This window comes from Homo sapiens, chromosome 8, assembly GCF_000001405.40.
Source record: "Homo sapiens chromosome 8, GRCh38.p14 Primary Assembly".
Taxonomy (NCBI): domain Eukaryota; kingdom Metazoa; phylum Chordata; class Mammalia; order Primates; family Hominidae; genus Homo; species Homo sapiens.
In genome coordinates, this window is record NC_000008.11 from 26956148 (window position 1) to 26975631 (window position 19484).

General features: G+C 37.2%; 1 long non-coding RNA gene across 1 annotated transcript; it reads right to left on the bottom strand.

The window, feature by feature from the left end:
* Positions 1-7515: 7515 nt before the first annotated feature.
* On the bottom strand, positions 7516-18583 carry LOC105379339 (uncharacterized). The gene is made up of 4 exons (XR_949605.1): positions 18544-18583; positions 10933-11129; positions 9765-9946; positions 7516-7590 (listed from the first exon to the last, which is right to left on the bottom strand). It is a non-coding gene; the product is annotated as an uncharacterized LOC105379339 (long non-coding RNA).
* Positions 18584-19484: the final 901 nt, after the last annotated feature.

Consider the following 19484-nt stretch of genomic DNA (forward strand, 5'->3'; position numbering starts at 1 on the left):
AGGGTATCTATGGTTGCCTATATTATAGATTATTTTGGTTGCCTATCTATAGAATTATTTTATAGATGATTTTATTGACATCAATAATTTCAGTGAAATAAGCCAGGAACAGAAGGACAAATAACTCATGATATCACATACACAGATGACCCCCAACTTACAATGGTTCGACTTAGGATTTTTTTGATTTCACAATGGTGCCAAAGCAATACACATTCACTAGAAACTGTGCTTTAGTACAGTATTTAATGAATTACATTTAGATATTTGGCACCTCATTATAAAATAGGCTTTGTGTTAGATGATTTTGCCCCAGTGTATGTAGGCTGATGTAAATGTTGTGAGCATGTTTAATTTAGGCAAGGCTGGCCGGGCATGGTGGCTCACGCCTGTAATCCCAGCACTTTGGGAGGCCGAGACGGACCTCCTGACGGAGGTCAGGAGATCGAGACCATCCCGGCTAACACAGTGAAACCCCGTCTCTACTAAAAACACAAAAAATTAGCCGGGCGTGATGGTGGGCACCTGTAGTGCCAGCTACTCGGGAGGCTGAGGCAAGAGAATGGCGTGACCCCAGGAGGCGGAGCTGGCAGTGAGCCGAGATCGCGCCACAGCTTGGGCGACGGAGCGAGACTCCATCTCAAAAAAATATAAGGAAAAAAAAAAAAGTTAGGCAAGGCTAAGCTATGGTGTTTGGTAGGTTAGGTGTATTCAGTGCATTTTCAGCTTATGATACTTTCAACTTATAATGGTTTTATCAGGACATAACCCCACCATAAGTCAAGAAGCCTCTGTACGTGGAATCCACAGAAGTTAAACTCATAGAAACAGAGAGTAAAATGGTGGTTACCAGAAATGGGGGTTGAGGGGTTTGAAAGGATGTTAGTCAAAATATACAAAATTTTAGATAAAAAATACCTGAAGGAATAAATTCAAGAGAAGTAAGTTCAAGAGCTCTACTGTTCATCACAGAGTTAATAACAATATATTATATACTTGAAATTGCTAAGAGAGTAGATTTTAAATGTTCTCACCACAAAATAATGATAAGTATGTGACGTAATGCATGTGTTAAATAGCTCGATTTAGCCACTCTTCAATGTATACATATATCAAAACATCGTAGTTGTACACCTGACATATATGCAATTTTTACTTGTTAATTAAAGAGAGAGGGAGAGAGATTTTACATCGAACTCCCTCTGTAGCTTAGACAATGATTCTAAAAGGGAGTTACTGCTTATCCCCCTGTTGCCCAAGGAATAGCTGTCAAGAGAGAAAATCATGTATATGAAGAGCTTAGTCAAATCAGTTGGCAGTTTTAATAATCATACTTTTTCAATCACCCTGATTGTTTGGCTTACTCAGGATCAGATCTTTCCTGACATTGGTTATTCCTTGAAAGCTGCAATCTGTATCTTATTCAGTGTTCGCTATAAACATAATAAATGCTCTGTAATTTACGTTATATGTAAAGTATGGAGGTTGTCTTTTCAACAGGCCATCGCCAACAAAGTCTGGGATGGCGCTTTCTTAAGTGTGAAAGGAATTTGAAACAACCAAGCTGATCAATGAGTCTGGGCGTCAAAATAGTCAAATCAGTAGGTCACATCATTTCATCACACTTGTGTTTACGGAACCATCACCACAATCAAGATACAAAAGGATTCTATCACTACACGATTCCCTCATGTCCCCCTTTCTAGTTCATTACATCCACCTCTCTTTCACCAACCATCCCTGAACCCAGGCAATCACTAATTTGGTTTCCATCTCTGTAATGTTGTCATTTTGAGAATGTGACATAAATGGAATCATACAGTTTGTGATCTTTTGAGACTGGCTTTTTTCACTAAGCATGATTCCTTTGAGATTCATCAAAGTTGTTATGTGCAATAGTTCATTCCTTTTTATTGCTAATCAGTATTCCAAGGAAGAGATGTATTAGAATCTGTCTAACTATTCACCTGTTGAAGGATATTTTGTTTGTTTCTAGCTTTGGCTATTATAAATAACTTTGTTTTGTTTGTTTTTAAAAAGACAGGGTCTCACTCTGTCACCCAGGCTGGAGTGCAGTGGTGCAACCATAGTTCACTGTAACTTCAAACTCCTAGGCTTAAGTGATCCTCCCACCTCAGTTTCTTAAGTAAGCAGGACTACAGGTGTATGCCACTATGCACTACTAATGTTTTTATTTTTGGTAGAGATGAAATCTCACTATGTTGTCCAGGCCAATCTTAAACCCCTGGCCTCAAGTGATCCTCCTGCCCTGGCCTCCCAAAGCACTGAGAACATTATTTTAAAATAAATTTTATTGTGTATATTTGAGGTTTACTACATGATGTTCATTTCTATGGGATAAGTGCCCAAGAGCACAATGCTGGATCCTATAGTAGGAGCATGTTGAGTTTTTATAACTACACTGCCACACTGTTTTCCAGAGTGACTGTACCATTTTACATTTCCACCAGTAGTATATGAATGATTCAATTTCTCTGCATACTAACCAGCATTTGGTGTTATATTATTTTTCATTTTAGACATTTTGATAGCTGTGTCATGATATTTCATCACAGTCTTACTTTACATTTCCCTAATGGCTGGTGATGTTAAACTCTTCATGAGTTCACTTCCATCCATGTATTCTCTTTGCCAAAATGTCTGCTTTTATCTTTTGTCCATTTTCTCATTGGATTTTTTTAACTTTGAGGTTTGATCTTTTTATATATTCTAGATATGAGTCCTTTGTCAAATATGTGGCTTTCAAATATTTTTATCTCCTTAACTGATCAGAAGTTTTTAATTTTGATGAAGTCCAGTTTATTGATTTTTAAGGAATTGTGCTTTGGGTAGAAGTCTAAGATTGCCTTCCAGAAATATTGTTCAAATTTACATTCTGACTAGAAATAATTATTTTTCTAATCCTCATTATTCATTGATTAAAATATACCAATTTAATGGACAAAATAATAACTTTTAAGATAAATGGTTTTTAATAATGTATTTAATTTTTGTGTTTATTGTTTATGAATTCCCTGGTCATCTCCTTTGTTCATTTTTCTAAAGGTAACTTTCTTCTTCTAATGTATTTCTGATATATTAAGGTACAATTTATCAATCATAAATATTACAAATATATTTTTGTACATTTACCTTTTATCTATTATATTTGGATGTACAGATGGCTTTAACTAGTATGAAGCCAAATCTATCAGATTTTTACTATATGCCTTCTATGTTTACATGTATAATTGATTTAGGGTTTATTATGTGGCTAGTTGAGAAAGATTCTTTTTCCGTAAATGATTCATTAATTATAACATCAAAGTATATTGAATAATCTATCCCTTTCAGGAGCTGAAATTTCAGGTTAATCAAATGCAAATATTTCTTGGCTATCTTTTACCATTTTTCATACAAAGAAATTTTAGAGTTATTTTTCTAAGTTACAAAAATATAACTGAAATTTTTTCTTAGAATTTTATTAAATGGTTGACTTGGGGAGAGTTTATATCTTTACACTATTATCTTCCTGTTACAAGAATGTGATTATTTTCCAGTTATTTGTCTTTGTTTATATCCATAGTAAAGTTTTTTAATGTTTAATATACCCTTTGAGTTTACTTCATGTATTTTATATTTCACAAAGCTATTGATAATGACTCTTTTTTCTTTATACTTTTTAACTGGTTACTGTTGATGAGTAAAATATTTCTTTTATAACTGGCTGAAATGTCTATTTTCCCATTCCAGTCAATTTTCTGTTTTTCCTAGTTATTGCAGTTTGATACTCACATAATCTAGAATAGTGATAATTTTGTCTTCCCAATTGTCACCTTTGTTAAGTTGCATGAAGTTAATATTTCAGAATAATGTTATATATTACAGTGGTTGCTTTGTCTTATTCTTAACTTTTATTAGAAAATCTCTTGTGGCTCAATATTAATAAAATATTGGTTGTTAATTTGAAACAGACTCTTCAATATGTTAAAGAAGAAAATGTATCCTAGTTTACTAAGAGATTACTGGTAGGTTTCACACTTGCTTGGAACCTGTGCTCCCATTTCTCTTTCCTATTTCTCCCTTGTGGAATGGGAATATCTATCCTATGCCTGTCCTACCATTGTATTTTGAAAGCAGATAACTTGTTTGGTTTCATAGGTTCACAACTGGGAGGAATTTTGCCTCAGGATGAATCATTTATTTTTGCCTTATCATAACTGATTTAGATCACGTTTAGATGAGATTTTGGAGTTAGAATTTATTCTGTATTATGGTAAGACTTTTGAGGCTACTGGGATGGGGTGAATGAATTTTGCATATGAGAAGGTCATGAATTTTGAGAGTCAGATAATGGAGTATTATGGGCTGACTTGCATTCTCCCAAAATTCATATATTTAAGTCCTAACCCTAGCACCTCAGAATGAGACTATATTTGGACTTCAGTCCTTTCAAGAAGTAATAAAGGTAAAATGATGTCATTTGGGTGAGCCCTAATACAATATGACTGATGTCTTTATAAGAAGAGGAAATTAGGTCACACACATGTACAGAGGAAAGGCTAAGCTGGATTGAGTCCTTCAAGGAGAAGGTGGCTTTTGATACTCTAAGGACAGAGGTCTCAGAAGAAATCACCCCTGCCAACACCTTCCAGCCTCCAGAACCATGAGGAAATAAATTTCCGTTTATGATACTTTGCTACAGCAGCTCAAACAGACCGACACCTTGGTCCCCAACCCCTGGGCCATGGACTAGTACCATTCTGTGGCCTGTTAGGAATCAGGCTGCACAGCAGGTGAGTGGCATGCGAGAGAGCATTACTGCCAGAGCTCTGTCTCCTGTCAGATCAGCAGCAGCATTCGGTTCTCATAGGAGCACAAACCCTACTGTGAAGTGCACATGCAAGGAATCTAGGAATGCTCCTTATGAGAATCTAACTAATGCCTGATGATCACAGTTTCTTCTCAAAACCATCATCCCCCACGCCAGCCCCATCCACAGAAAAATGATCTTCCCCAAAACCAGTCCCTGGTGCCAAAAAGATTGGGAACCACTAGACTAACACAATACCCTTGGTTCAATTGTTCAAGGCACAGGAGTATGTCTGGATGGTCATGTTATTCTGCACCAATTTCCTTTCACAGGTTATTTACAGGGTCCTTGCTCCTCATCTTTATAGATTAAAGATGTGGCTAAAATGTCAGAGGATGTGGGTGGAGGACTGGAGACAGAATAACAAACCTGAATTCCACATTCCCACATTATTTGTAAAATTAAACCTTCTCTCTTATTTTTTAGAAAAAGTAAAAGCAAGAAGCTGTGCAGCATTGCTTCTGTGACTGGCAATTGGGTTCAACTGGCAGTATTCATTTACCAAAGAAATAGTGATCTCATGTTGAAGATATAGCATCACCACCTAGAACTAAAAGAACCAAATCTTTCCCCCCAGCATGTCTTATTTTAAAGCCTGTGTTAGAAGCTACAACTGTCTGTCTAGTACCCAATCCTTTAGATATTGCTTTAAATGTTTTACATAAAAGAAGAATAAATGGAAGTCCTTCTTTTTCTGCTTATCTGCAGCATTTTGCGTTTTATTAAGTCTACTTTGAAGCAGACCAAGAATATTTTTTCTACCTTTCATTGATCCTCCTATTTCACCTTATAATTCTTTTCATTGATTAAGCCATGCCCCCTGAGGATCTGATTGGAAAGAAAGGAATCAGAGACTCAGAATGTTCACTTGAGCTGGAAAACAACTGCAGGATAAATTTCCCTGTAGGAGCCTAGAGGGACCTGTGCAGTAGGGCTATGCTGTCAGCCAGGAGTTAACTACAAGATAGAGAGCCCCTATTAGTTAATTTTTTTAATTAGTCTGCCTTTTGCATTCAGCAGTAAAGTCCTACTTAAATGAAAATGATTTTTCAGGAAGGAAAATCAAGAGCGAGTAGGGATTTCCAGAGAGGAGCCAGTGGCTTAGAGAGCAGGATCTGAAGTCAGTCCAACTCCCGCCCTGCCACTACCACCATTCGAGTTATTACATGCAACAGGGGAAGCTTATTCCTCTGTTGCCACAGGCAAAATTTTGAAGGAAGCATTTTTCTTCTCCTCTATTAAATACACTCTTATCCATTAAGCAGCCTCCTGTGCTAGCATCTGGCTCTCTTCCTGCAGCTAGGGGTTCTCCCCACTTGTGTTAGGTCCTACCCAAGCCTCACTAGCCCTGCCTCATCGAGATTCAGGCCTCTGTTGGGAGAAAGGAGCTAATCTTTCAGAGCCAAAGTGGTCATGCTGGCAGAGGGCTTCTAGTTTTCCAAGTGCCTCATTGACCTCCTGCTATGACTTTGAAAATTTCTACATTCTGGGGAGGTACATTCCTTGTGCCAGACACTGTGGGAAGCCTGGTACCTGCATTGTCTTATTCAACTCTGACAGCAAATAAGGGGGAATTACTGTAGTAGCTCCTCAACATCATCTAATACCTAGAACACAATTTTTTTCAATTTTTCTTTTAGGTTCAGGGGACACATGAGCAGGTATTTTACATTGGTAAATTTCATGATGCTGAGGTTTGCTTTACAAATGATCCCATCACTCAGGTAGTGAGCGTAGTACACAATTGGTAGTTTTTCAATCCATGCCCCTTCCCACTCTCTCCCCTCAGGTAGGCCTCAGTGTCTATTGTTCCCCTCTTTATGTCCATGTGTACTCAATGTTTAACTTCCACTTATAAGTGAGAGTACATGGTATTTGGTTTTCTGTTCCTACATTAATTCTCTTAGGATAATGGCCTCCAGCTGCATCCATGTTGCGGCAAAGGGCGTGATTTTGTTACTTTTTCATGGCTATGTAGTATTCTATGATGTATATGTACCACATTTTCTTTATCCAGTCCGTGATAGATGGACATCTAGGCTGATTCCATCAGCCTACTATTTGCTATAGTAGTTCCAATGTTTTAGTGGCTGTATAAATCACCTGTATAAATGGCTAATTCAAATTAAATCATACAGACATACCATGATTTATTTAATGAATTCAAAATGGCTAGATATTTAATTTGTTTCTAATTTAGGGCCATCATAAGCAAAATTGTTCTTTTGTCTTTGTAACTAAATCTTAGCACATTTCCTTAGTATTTTCTCATGGTAAATGTCTAGAAGTAAAACTGCTATTGCACAGGTGATGCCAATTTTAAGATTTGTGATACATAACTGGGAGACTCTTTTCCATAAAGACTCAATCAATTTCCCAGCCATCAAAACTACTTAATAGCTCTTTCTCCATGTCTTCACCAAAACAGAGTATTTCCCTTTCTGGCTACCTTTTTGGCTATTATCATAGGTGAACGTGGAATTGCATTGAGCTTGCTTTTCTTTGCTAACTTTAGTGTGTTTACTGGCCATCTGCATTTCTTCTTGGGCAAATTGCCCACTGTCTTAGTCCATTTATGCTACTATAACAAAATACGGGAGACTGGGTAATGTTTAAATAACAGAAATGTATTTCTCACAGTTCTGGAGGTCGGAAAGTCCAAGATCAAGTTGCTGGCACCTGGTAAGAGCCTTCTTGCAGCGTTCTCACATGGCACCCTGCAGAAGGGCAAGAGAGCAAGCTAGCGGAACACTGTGTGAAGCCTCTTTTATAAAGGCCTTCATCCTATTAATGTGGAAAGATTTCAGGACATAATCACCTTGGAGAGGCCCCACTTCTTAATATTAGCACATTGGCAACATCTGAATTTTGGAGAGGACACATTCAAACCATAGCACCTGCTTATATATTTTCTTTTGAAAGAGGTACTCATCTTTTTCATGAATTTTAAAAGCTCTTTTATATTAAAATGTTAATCCTTTGTTGATTATGGTATATGTATAGTACACTGCAAATACTTTCTCCATTTATTTGTTTCTAAAATTTTGCTTTTCTTTTTGTTTCAAGATATTCATAACTACCAATCTTTTCCTTTATGCTTGCTCTGGGATCATTTTTATAAAGACCTTCCCAGCTCAACACCTAAGAAGATTATATAGTCATATATCATATATATTTTATCTTAATATTTTGTTTAACATGATCATATTTAATTTATATGGAACTTACTAATATAAAGTATAACTAACCTATGCCTTTATTATTTTTCATATATTTATTCAGTTTATCCAAGATCATATACAGAGAGACTGAGAGATAGATGTAGATTTTTATATATGTATATATATCAAATAATATTATCCAATTTTTCCAAGATCATATATAGAAAGACTATATATATATATATCTGATATATGTATGTGTATATATACATCTGATATACGTATGTATATACATATATATATATATATATATCTCCTTTGATATATACCTCTATATATCTGTCTCCATATGTGTGATCTTGGAAGAACTGCATAGATTTCTGTCTATCATCTATCTCCTTTCTCATGTTTATTATTAAACACATGTTTTTTTCTTCTATAGTATTTATCTAATCAACTGTAATTATAGAGCTCCTATTATATTCTATACACAGTAATTAATAGGTGCAGAGGATATCTTTGTGAACAAGACAGAAAAAGTCTCTTTCATTTTGGAGATGACAGTGCAAAAATAGGAGGCTTGATGAAAAAGTCGCAAATAGCTATACAATGGAATTTTAACTCTGAAGAAAATAAAGCAAGGGAAAGGAATAAGTGAGTGATGAAGATAGGCAGAAAAAATTCAGAAAATTCAAAAAGGTTTGTCTGAGGATGTGACATTTGACCAGAGACTATGATTAGCCTCGCTATTTGTGTTTTATTAGTCTCTTCAAAGAATGAGCCGTTGGATTTATTTATCAGGTCTACTGGCTTTCTATTTTCTGTTTCATTAATTTCTATTTGTATATTTATTTAGTTCTTCTTTTATATCTTCTTGAGAGGCAGTGAGGCATTCTGGACAGCACCTGAGAATAAGAAAATGCTCACGTTTCTATCTCTTGGTCTGACTGGAAGGGATTATTACTTCCTTGCCTTGGAGAGGTCTGCCCTCCAACTTTAATGAAAAGATTCACAGGTCATTTTTAAATGGCTACTCTTTATTCTAGAATTTCCTTTTCCTTGGAAAGAAGAGAAAAGATTTCTTTTCCATGATACTTTTAGGAGCACCCAGCAGTCAGATGATTGCAAGGAAAAAAGGAACATGCTTTGACCCTGAGGGTGGTACTTTTATTCAGTTGGCACTCGCTGAACCAAAGCTTCTGCAGCATGAATGCAGCCTGAAGCAGGAATCTATCCACAAGAAAGTGCTTTGTCATGCTAATTTTAAATTCAGGATTCATACTACCAAAACGGAACAGAGAAGAATAACTTGCTATGAAATAGCATTAGTTCTATTTGAAGCTGGAAAATTCATTGAAGTTCTAGTTCCAGACCAGGCTAGTCCATTTACCCAATTTGCCTTTCATGCTCACAGAAAACTCATTTTGTCCATTTCACTATTCAGGATGATTTTTAAATTGCATCGCACCTGTTCAAAAGCTGAGAGGAAGCACGGAGACCACATACTGGAGATGGTAAGTATCACACTTCACAGTGAAATAATAATGAAGAGCCCCTAAAAAATCACCCATCAGACAGCCACAATAATCCCAGATACGAACGAGTCTAAAGACCAGGAGTGCACAATTACAGTGCTTGGGTTATTTTCATCAATAGCAGACAGGCTGCTTCTTTGCACATGGATAAATAGCTTATTCATTTGTGTTGGAGTATATATATATATTTGTTACCTTGAAATGTAGATGAAAAGCTCAAGTCCACAACTCCATGGCAAGTGAAATAAACTCAGGCAGAGTATTATCAAACATTTGGACACATAGAAGCAATTTTAAGAAGGATGGAATTAATTGGTTCTCATTTTCCTCAATCCTCTATGCTAAGACTTCTAAAAGTATATTCTTTAAATACAAATCTAGAGAAAAAGAGAGAGACAGATTCTGGAAACAGTTTATTGTCATCTCCTTCTTAGAGATCCACCATGTATATCTTCATAATAAAGACATTAAAAAATCCAACAGTAAAGAAATCCATCTATTTTTATTCCAAGCATTTCACACAATATCTTAAGAAATCAGCATTTGATAAAATACATATTAGAAAATATTGTCCTCTGCCAACCTTTATTTGCTGAATAGAAAATTTCAATAATGTATGGCACATTCTTTGACAGTTACTCTGCTAATTTGGGGTCAAGCTCACCATTAATCTTTTAAACTATCATAGAAAATAATTCTGTTTCGATCACTTTTTCTATTTTATACTTACTGTGCAAAGGTATTACTGTCATAATTCTTAAACTTCTTCCACGCACCTGATACCCCTTCACCTACTTAATGGGTTTTCTAACTCTGACTTTCTTGTTTTGAGACAAGAATATTTTGGAATTTACAAAAATAAATTTGGGGCACAGTACTTCAGTCAATTCGTAATATGAAATCTGGTTTCAGGAGATGATAAAAATACCTTCAGACCTCATGTTATGTGGTAGGTTCATAGGATTTGGGACCAGTAGTCATCTTTGCATTCCTACTGTTACTACAGTGTTTGTACATTTTAGATAATTATAAAGGATTGTGAACCAATGAGAGATTTAATAGTAAATTATGCTTTTAGGAAGAAACTGTAGAATAATTGATATTGCCATTGGAATTGGAGACAGGAGATCTAGTTTCTGGAGCTGCCCACTGCTACTAATGAGTTCTAAGCTATCTAAAAATCCATAAACCTAAGCTCTCTGCTTCAGATTCCCCATCTGTTAAATTGGAATCATACAATCCAATCACCATATTTTTCAGAGTAAAATAAGGTAACTAGTGTATAACCGTGTTGAAGAAGTTAAGAATACTCTATGTTTGGAAAATAATTTCATTGGCATTATATATGCACCCCCTGTCTTACTTTAGCTTTCATGTGAACTGGAAGCTATCATTGCATCAAAGCTTGGGCCAGGGAGAGGATGATCTGGCACCATACTGAAACTGCAGATACAGCCAGCTCTAGGCAAAGTTGTGAAGGAAGAAATCTTGGTCACCTCCGTGCATTGATTCTCCTCTTATATTGCATTCCTCCTTCCAAGCCAGTCAGTGAGTGCGTTCCTGAAAAATTTATTTAAAGGAAATTTCTAGAAACCTGGTAGATTTTGCTTACTTTATGAAGAAAGCAATAGTTAATTTGAAAAATCCTAATCATTACATGTGGAATTTCAGCAATTAACAAGGCATTGAAGAGGGCTGGGGAAATTTTACTAGCCCTTTTTCCCAGTATCTCTTCTATTATACCCAAATATTTTGAGATATGAATTAACACCCCCATTTTACAGATAGGAAGATAGACTCATTGAAGTTGACTTGTCCTGGCTTCAAAGACCGTAAGTCAGAAGAACCAGGATTTGTCACCTGCCTGACTCAAAACTTACTCTTTTTCTTTACATCCTATGACATCAGTGGGTGAGAGCAAATAACCCCAGAGCTTCAGATATAAAGAGAAGCAAATGAATTATTAGATTCTTCATTCTTTATTTGGATGTTATTTGTCAAGAAGGCAGGCTGTGGAAAGTATTGTCCAACACCAATGAAATATAAGTTCTAATAAAGACTATTAGAAGATACAGTGATCTAGCATAGTGGTTACAAGCCAGAGATGTGGAAGAGATTGCCTGTGCTGTTATCTGGTCTCTGTTAATTATTAAATGTATATATTGAGCAAGTTAGTTCAACTTTCTATATACCTTAATCTCCTCATCTATAAAATGGAGATAAATACAGTACCAACATTTTTGGCTTTGAATCAGGATTATAAGTTTAAAAATTTAACTGACTGTCAGTTCTGCTATAACACTTGTTTTGAAAATGGGAATTTGGCCCCATATAATTCATATATTAGGGAAAAATTCGAGCATTCACTTGAATTTTGCATTGTTGTGTGCATAATTTTATTCATGAGAAATGCTAGATGAGCACAGAAACCTGCATTTGGCTGAGTGGGGCTAATGTAGAAATATACCAAATGTTTGCATGCACACACCTGTACACACATACAGCACCCACGCACACACACACCTCAAGCAGCTACCCTCTCCCTTAGTTCACTGCATATATCATGAGCCACATCTAGTGTTTCTATTTTTCTTTCCATTTCAGATACTCCTCCTTCTGTCACTTCAAAATAACACAGGCCAGTAGCCCTTCCGAAGCCCAATTCCACAAGAAAACTTCAGACCTTGTTAAAATTCCAAGTTTATTCCAGTAATTTATCTGTTTCTTAATCATCCAATATATGTAAAAGCTTGCCACATTTTTATTGGTTTTCTAACTTTTTTAATGTGTCACTGATGGCAGTTTTTGAGTGTTGTATCTCAACTCCATTTTTTCCATAGTTTTTTAATCACATGATTTTGCATAACATGGTGATTTTTTTGCAATGCAAATATCTCATTATAAAAGAACTGACTATATTTAGAACAATGCCTGGTATACAATAAAACATTCAACAAATTGTTATTATTATGCTAAACAGATAGAATTCTTTTGACCAAATGTTAAATCTGTTTCATTATGAAAGAAGAAAGAATGCTGATATATTTTAAATCATGGATAGAATTCAATCACTTAATATTCACTCAACAGATAATTATTGGTTGCCTCCTAGGTGCCTGGTGCTGGGCTGGCTGAATACAAAACCAGGGGAAAAAGATGCGGTCACTGTCCTCACAGAACTGAAGGTCTAGCCAAGGAGACAAACAACTGAAAAAGCAAACTAAGTGTCCAGGCAAAGTATACAGGGGTGCTTTGCTAGTGAGTACATTGCAGCAATAATTAATCTAGCATAAGAAGGCTCAGAAAGAAAATGACTTTAAAGCCAAGTTCAAAAAGATGTGTAGGACTTTCCCAGAGATAGAGCTGCTGGGAGTGGAGAGTATGAGGTGTTCTAAGTACAGTTAAAGCAAAGGCCTGGAGGAAGGAAATGTCCCACTGAATGAAGTTCCTTGTCTTGTGTAGTGAGAGGCAAGGAGGGGTTAAGGAAGGAGGCTGAAGAGGAAGACAGACACAAGTAAAGAAGTGCCTGCTAAAACCTACCAAGAACCCTGAGTTTTATTCCAACAGTGATGGGAGATGATTGAAAGACTTTGAGAAGGGGATTCAGATTTTCACTTTAGAAGATCCCTCTGGCTATAAGTGAACAATGGACTGAGGAAGGACAAGATGGGGTGGATCAACTCATTCCAGGAAGTTATTGCACAAATATGGACAAAATGCACAATTGCATAGGCTGGCTGCTTTGGCACTGACAAGGGTGAACTCCACTCACTGGGACCTCCTGCACTGGGATAAGGAGCATGCAGGAGCTGGAATGAGTGCTTTTGGGCACTGGCAGGAGTGAACTTTGTACTGGCCCTGTGGCAGCATCTGGGGCTAGGGGGTGCCTGTGATCTCCAAAGACCCAGAGGAAGTGTCACAGTACTCTTTTAGCTCTGCCATTTGCAGGAATAAATTGAAGATGGTAAATGTGGGGGATTTTATTGCCCATGAAAGTGGCTGTCAGCTGGAAGGGGAACTGAAAAGGGGATAGAGTAGGAAGGTCCTCTTGTCCAGCCATCTCTGGCCAGATTCTTCTCTGAAGTTACACCATCAAGCTGTCCCTCTGAAGTCAAGCTGCTTCTCTCTGACCAACTGTAGTCTCCAACGTCCAGTTTCTTCTCCCCTTTCTGCCAGCTGAGCCTGAGGTTTTTATGGACACAGGATGTGGGGCAAGGTGGGCATGGGTGGTTTTGGAAAAGGCAATATTTAAGCAGGAAAACAGGGATGTAAGTCCTCACTTTGGGCCACAGTTTCAGGCTTGAGGGTGGGGCTCTTGCCGGGGACCCACCCTCTTCTGCCCATAATTTCCCTGCCTCCTGTCCCTGTCACTTGGAGGTGGAATGAACTAAATTCAGTGGAGTGTGGTGAGGGGAGGGGAATGAGTGAGAAGCAAGGATCTAGGATGACTCTCAGTTTCTGGGTGAACCATTTTCTGAGAAAATATGCTTGAAGAGAAAAACAGATTTGAAGGGAAGATGATGGGTTTTCAGCAGACTGGGCTGTTCAGACAGGAATAATACAGGGTGGTCACAGCAGTTTCACATGACTAGATGCTACGGGCTGATAAGACCCTGAAAAACAGGATGTGGGCCAAGCTGGCTAAGACTGACTGGAACCAACATGGGCTGGATTTGACCTAGGTTCCACCGAGAACCTCATTATATGCTCATTTACATAATTACCCAACCACCAGTGCCATGACAGTTCCAGGAACACCCATATTTGGTGTAAAAATGGGCGACTCCACAATTCCAAGAAATCTCCACTTTTTCCAGGAATTTTCATGAATATCCCATCCCTTGGTTAAATAAATTCATAAAGAAAGATACCCTAAACCCCACTGGGTGACTCTGTCTTGAGTACATCTACACTCTCCTTGCTTGAGTGTGTACTTTTCCCATTACAATAAATCTCTGTACTTTCACTATTTTCAGATTTATCCTTGAATTCTTTCTTACAGTGGTGTTAAGGGCCTGGAAACTGGTTGGAGTCGAGGTCTCACCAGCATTTGGACCTCCCCCAGCCCACCAGTATCACTTTCACCATAGAATTATCATGGGACGAAAAACCATGCAGGATGGAAGGGTTTAGTCCCAGTAGATACCCAGGACTTGAATGGCCCAATGAATTTCAGATGGAATGAAAACCCAGTGGATTTTTAAACTCAATTATATTTGGTAAAACATGACTGTATGGGTTCTAAGAGAAAAGTGTTTGGTGGACTCTACAGTGAGATTCTAGAATTCAGGTCTCGTATAAATAAGAGAGCTTGGTTTTATTTTAGCCTGTCCAAAATCATGCTGTGAAAAGTTTTGATGAGGTAAGTGTAAATAAATCAGAAAACATTGTAAATGTTTACATGATCACTTGAAAATGAAAAGAAAGAATGTTTAGGACAAAGTACATTCTTAGTTCTTTTGAACCAAAAATATTTCCACAAAGTATATAAAATGTACAAAAACAGCCAAACTGAGGCCCATCTGTCCTTAATTATAACAGAATAACATGAAAAGAAACCAAAAGACATGACCCAACCTGCTTCCTTGAATGGTAATGAAAACCCAGTGAAACATTCTTATTTTCTGCTTTCTACCGCAGTGGGCATCACATTCTAAAGGGATGAGAAATACAGCAATGTCGTTTATTTCTTAAAGCATGATTGTTTTTGTAACATGATTTGTAACTGGGCTAAACTTGTAGAATAAACTGGTACACTCTGACTCCACTTAGCTTCAGTTTTTAACTAAGCCTAGAAAATAAGAGAGTGAAGCATCACATTGCTATAATTAGGGTCTCTAAATATGTATGGTTTCAGAGATACTATATCATTATACAGTATGTACAAAGCTGGAATAAATACTAGGCTTTCTGAGCACAATGCTTATAAAACAACTAATTGCAATTTACCTTTGTTCTACTTGTGGGGTTTGTCTTAGTATCTGCCAACTGATTTCTTATTTATATAAATATCCTTTAAAAGTAAGATTTACTTTTGTCACATCTGAAAAAATTGCAGTGGCCAAATAAAGGTATATTTTAGCTAACTGCATTTAATTTGTCACTGTGAGAACATGATCTGAAAGTGGAGATTTAATGTTTTAAAAATTTTTGTAGGTACATAGTAGGTATATATATTTATGGGTTGCATGAGATGTTTTGATACAGGCATGCAACACATAATAATCACGTCATGGAAAATGGGATATCTATCCCCTCAAGCATTTATCCATGATGTTACACACAATCCAATTATACTATTTTACTTATTTAAAGTGTACAATTAAATTACTATTGAATAGTCGCCCTGTTGCACTATCAAATACTAGGCCTTATTCATTCTTTCTAACTATATTTTTGTGACACCATGCGATGTTTGTCTTTCTGTGCCTGGCTTATTTCACTTAACAAAATGATCTCCATTTCCATACATGTTGCTGCAAATAACTGAATTTCATTCTTTTTTAACGGCTAACTAGTACTCCATTGTGTATAAGTACCATATTTTTCTTAACCATTCATCTGTTGATGAACACTTGGGTTGGATATTTTATTTTTTTCCAACTATTGCTGCCTGGTGAACTGATAGGGACCAGAAATTTACAAATATGCAGAATTTTTTTTTTTTGTCCTTGGAACTTGTTCTTATTTGTGGATGTTAAGTGAAGGAAAAACAAACTATTGTTGATTTGGTTTTAAATAATTCATGGGTAAATGAAGCCACAAACTGTAAATTACAAAGGCTTTCAGAAGGGCAGAGTGAGACACTCAGGGACATTGGTGGCAGAGAGTGCAGAGGTGAGCTTCATGAGATCACACACGGCCGTAGGCAAGGTGGGCATGGGGAGGACTTGAGATGGCACAAGGATCCATCTTAGGGATGTGTGTGCCCATGAAGCATGGAAATAAAGGAAAATCTTGAGTTCCTTCAAGGTAAATTCCAGGCATCTAGCTAGCCATGAAAAGTAAATGACTACCTTAATAAGTAAGGAGATAATAGTAACTTAAAAATAATGGCAGAGGAAGTTAGAGTAAGGAGATATTTTGTTTCCTATGGAAACTAAAGTAACGTCTTAACATACTCTGAGTTGTTTTTCAGGAACCTGGACCCCTACCACATGAATCCACTGGCTGGCACATAGACCTCAGATAAGGAGGTACTAAAGACTGAACGCTGATGGCTGTTTTCCTTCTAAACTTCTTCCCAAAGGGCCTCAAGGAGGTCATGCCCACGAGCCAGAGCTAACATTCTTTTCTGCTGACCCCAAAATTTTAAACAAAGCTTCTCTTCCTTGATCAATTGCAAATCAGAAAATCTTTGAATTTACCTATGACCTGTAAGCCACCCCTCCACCCCCCGCCACCCACGACCCCCACTTTAAGATATCCCACCCTTTTAGGCCAAAACTAATCTGTAACCTCCAGGTATTGGTTTGCAATTTTGCCTGCAGTTTCTGCTTTCCTGAAATTAAACCCTGCCTTTAAAAATCCTTACCTGCAAACCACTAGGGAGGTCAGAGTTTGAGCATTAGCTACCTGGTGCTCCTTGCTTGGCACCCGGCAAATAAATGCCTTCCTTTTCCCCACTGCAAACTCGGTGTGGTTATCTGGTCTTACTGTGCTGGGTGAGTGGACCCCAGTTCAGTTCTATAACAGGCTGGGCTGGGTAAACCTTCCCATATTTGAATGGTAGGAGAATACTTATTCATCAACCGTTAAAGATCCAACATAGGAAGAAAAAATTAGTCCTTATTTTGTCTGTCTTGTCAGATTGTGGAGAGGGTCAAGCAAGTGTCAGGTGAGTTGTGTGTGTGTATGTGTGTGCGTGTGCATACTCACTAGGGTTGGGGGTGTGGTGAGGGTAGGTTAGAAGAAATAACTTAATTCAAATACCACAGGATATGCAGGTAGAAACAGTATGTGAGAATCAGTAAGGTGTTCTCTGAAATTTGACCAGTGGTATCCTGGATGATGTAGACCGTAGACTGTGCAGTGTCCAGTTCTTTTATTAAGTACATGGGGTCTGTAGTCACACTTCCTGGGGCAAAATCCTGCCTCTTATGTTTTTGACCTTCGGCAAGTTACCTCACCTCGCAAAACCTGTTTCCTCACCGGTAAAATGGGAACAATCACAGTACTTATGTCATAAGATTGAAATGAGAATTCAATGACAGTCTGGATTAAACACTTAGTACGTGGCTTGGCATGGAGAAAATGCTTCATAAATGGTAGTTCCTATAATGACATTTTTATTAGTGTTATTTATATTCTGCATTTGTCAGAAAAAGTGTTCTGCTTTTGTATTAGTCTGAGTTCTCTACAGAAACTATATATATATATACACACATATAACTATATATACACATGTATATACACATATATATATACATAACTAAATTGCATTGGTCATGCAGTTCCTTGGAGGCTAAGAACTCCAAGATCTGCAATTCATGCTGGAGGGTCAGGAGAGCTGGTGATATAGTTCAGCCCCAGGTTCAACGACCTGAGAACTAAGACAGTCAATAGTATAAGCTCTAGATCTAGTCCAAGTCCAAGTCTGAAGGCAAAGACCGGTGTTCCAGCTCCAAGACAGTCAGGCAGGGAAAAAGAATTCTTTCTTACTCAGATTTTTATTTTATTCAGGCATTCAACAGATTGGATGAATGTTTTACTGCTTTACTCAATGTAATGTTTCCAATGTCAATCTCATCCAGAAATACCCCCAGAGACATACTCAGAGATAATATCTAACCAAATATCTGGGCACTCTGTGGTCCAGTCAAGTCAATCCATAAAATTGACCACCACAATCATTATCACTTTCTTCATCCTGCCTTCTTAGTGTTACTTTGTTGCTTTTTCTAGCTTCTTGTACTACTTTATTTGCTTACTTATTTTAATATTCTTTGATTAAAATAGCACTTAAAAGCCATACTTGGGAGGCTGAGGCAGGAGAATCACTTGAAGCTGGGACGTGGAGGTTGCAGTCAGCTGAGGTCATGCCATTGCACTCCAACCTGGGCAACAAGAGCAAAACTCCATCTAAAAAAAAAAACAAAACAAAAAGCTATACATTTTATCTAATAACTATTTTGTGACTACACCCATAAGATTTAATGTCATGATTTTTCTTTTATTTTCTAACAGTCTGTAACCAGTTTTTTTCATATTTGTTATTAAGGTGATTTTATTTTTATTTACTTATTTTGCATATATTTTTGCACCCCAGAGAAAGTGGCTTGTACAAGTTCTAGTTTTGGGAATTTCTTGAGGCTGTCGCTTAGTGTATAATAATAATTGCATTTATTTTTAAAAGTACTATTTAGATATATTTTTAAAAGTTTTTCATGTGTGAATTTTATTTAATTCTTACAACAATCCTATAATGTAGATATGATTATTATCCTAATTATACAAATGAGGACATTGAAGTTCAGAGAGGTTCACTAACTTACTCAAGAGTGCACAGTATTAAGAGTGAATAGTAAGCCCAAGTTAAGAGCCAGATTAAAGATCAGACAAATAGACAATGACCCAGGGCACCAAGCTATGAAGTGTGATGTGTTAGTTAGCTAAGATTGCCATAGCAAAGTGCTGCAAACCGGGTGGCTTAAACAACAGAAATGCATCATCTCACAGTTCTGGAGGCTGGAAATCCAAGATCAATGTATTAACTGGTTTGGTTTCTTGTGAGGCTGCAAGGGAAGGATCTTTTCCATGTCTGTGTCCCATCTGCTGATTGCTTCCCACCAGTCTTTGGTATCACTTGGCTTGGAGAAGGATTATCTTTGCCTTCATCTTCACATGGCATTCCCCCTGTGTGTGCCTGTTCAAATTCCGCCCCCCTCCCTTTTAAAAATAAAGCCACCAATCATA